A 2,028-nucleotide genomic window follows, 5' to 3' on the forward strand; every position below is an offset into this window, starting at 1 on the left:
GTATTTCAGTAGAGAGTCCTTCTCTTCCCTCCACCTTTACAGTTTTCTTCTTGTGCCTTCTATTGGTAGAACCTAAAAGGAAACAGCTAGCCAAGAGGACATTTTATTTCTAGGGTTTTACCTCCAGCATCACAAAGTGGAATATCAGAGGGTGGATTTGAAGCTGTGAGAATGTAGCTTACTGACGATCATGCTTTCCCTGTCTTTAGGCTTCAAGAACTGGACAACCTCAGAGCTTAGCTATGGGTCCATTTTGCCCCCTGTCTATCCTCTCTCTTTATGGAATCTCATCCAGTCTCATGCTTTCTATATCATATAAAATGAAACAGCTCCCAAATGTGTTTCTCCAGCTTTCACTTGCACTCCAGACTAGTATACCATATACATAACTTGACAACTCTATTTGGATGCCCAAAAAGCAATTGCAAACTCAATATTTACAAAATGGAATTCTTGTAGTTTCAAACCTGTTTCCCTCTTCTCAGTTAATGTCACCACCATTCACACAGTTTTTCAAGCAAAACACCTAAATGTAATTCTTGCTTTCTTCCTTTATATCACCCCATTCAACCTAATCAAAATTCTTGAGGTTTTACCTCCACAATACACTCAGATCCCTCATTTTCACCCAATGTGCATGGCCATGGGTGATACAAATTGCTTTTCACATAGACCACAAAGATAGCTTTTCAAACGTTCTCCCTTGTTTGGTTCTTCATTCTTCACCCCACTTCACCCCACTTCTCACATAGCAGCATAAGTGATCTTTTAAAAATATCAAGTATATCATGTTGTTTCCCCACTTAAAATCTTCAAGGATTTCCGTTAGCAGAACAAAAAAGGCATCTGTGACCCCACATGACCTAGACCCTACATCTCCATGATCATCTCACACGGTTCTCCTTCTAGCCCACTGCTTTCTGGCCCCACTGGCCAGGATGCCCTGTCAGTACAATGCATGGCTGGCTCTGACTATCCTACAGATCTGAGTTTATTTATTTATTTATTTATTTGTTATTTTTTGGAGATGGAGTTTTGCTCTTGTTGCCCAGGCTGGAGTACAATCTCGGCTCACTGCAACCTCTCCCTCCTGGGTTCAAGCGATTCTCCTGCCTCAGCCTTCCAAGTAGCTGGGATTACAGGTGTGCACCACCATGCCTAGCTAATTTTTGTATTTTTATTAGAGACAGGGTTTTGCCATGTTGGCCAGACTGGTTTCAAACTCCTGACCTCAGGTAGTCTGCCCACCTCGGCCTCCCAAAGTGCTGGGATTACAGGCATAAGCCACCACGCCTTGCCCAGATCTGAGTTTAAACATGACTTTTTCGCAGAGGTCTTTCCTTATGATCTGTGTAAAGTTGCCCCCTTGCCTTCCAGTTACACCCTATCATTTCATACTATTTATGGTCTATTAATACTTGTATTTGAAGTTTTTTTCCACGTGTTTCATAGCTAGACTCTAACATCTGTGTGGGTAGTGACCTTGTCTGTCTTTAAACCACTGCATCTCCAGGATCTATAACAGTGTCTAGCACATAGTGAAGTTCAATAAACATTTGTTGAATTAGCAAGGCCCATGAGAGCAGTCCAGCTTTCAATCATTTCCATGCTCATTGTTCAGGGTAAACTCAGTAAAAAGTAGACCAACATGTGAGGGGGATCTCATATGTTAAAAGAAAAACAGACCAGTTAAATTTAACAGAAGTTCAATTGAGCAAGGAATGATTTGTGAATTGGGCAGCCCTACAAACCAGAGTAGGTTCAGAGCAACTCAGGTGCTGCTGCACGGTCAGAGGAGATTTATAGACAGAAAAGGGAAACTGACATATAGAAAAAAAGAAGAAAGGTACAAAAACATCTGCACTGGTTACAGCTCAGTGTTTGTTTGCCTTATGTGATCACGGTTTGAACAGCTGGCCACCTTTGGTCAAAATTCAGTGATTGGTACAGGAATAGGTTATAGTCTGTTTACACAACCAGTTTGGTTACAGTTCACTACTTATGGAGAAACCTTTAGTACAAACTTAA

The sequence above is a fragment of the Homo sapiens genome, chromosome 10 (assembly GCF_000001405.40).
Source record: "Homo sapiens chromosome 10, GRCh38.p14 Primary Assembly".
NCBI classification, from domain to species: domain Eukaryota; kingdom Metazoa; phylum Chordata; class Mammalia; order Primates; family Hominidae; genus Homo; species Homo sapiens.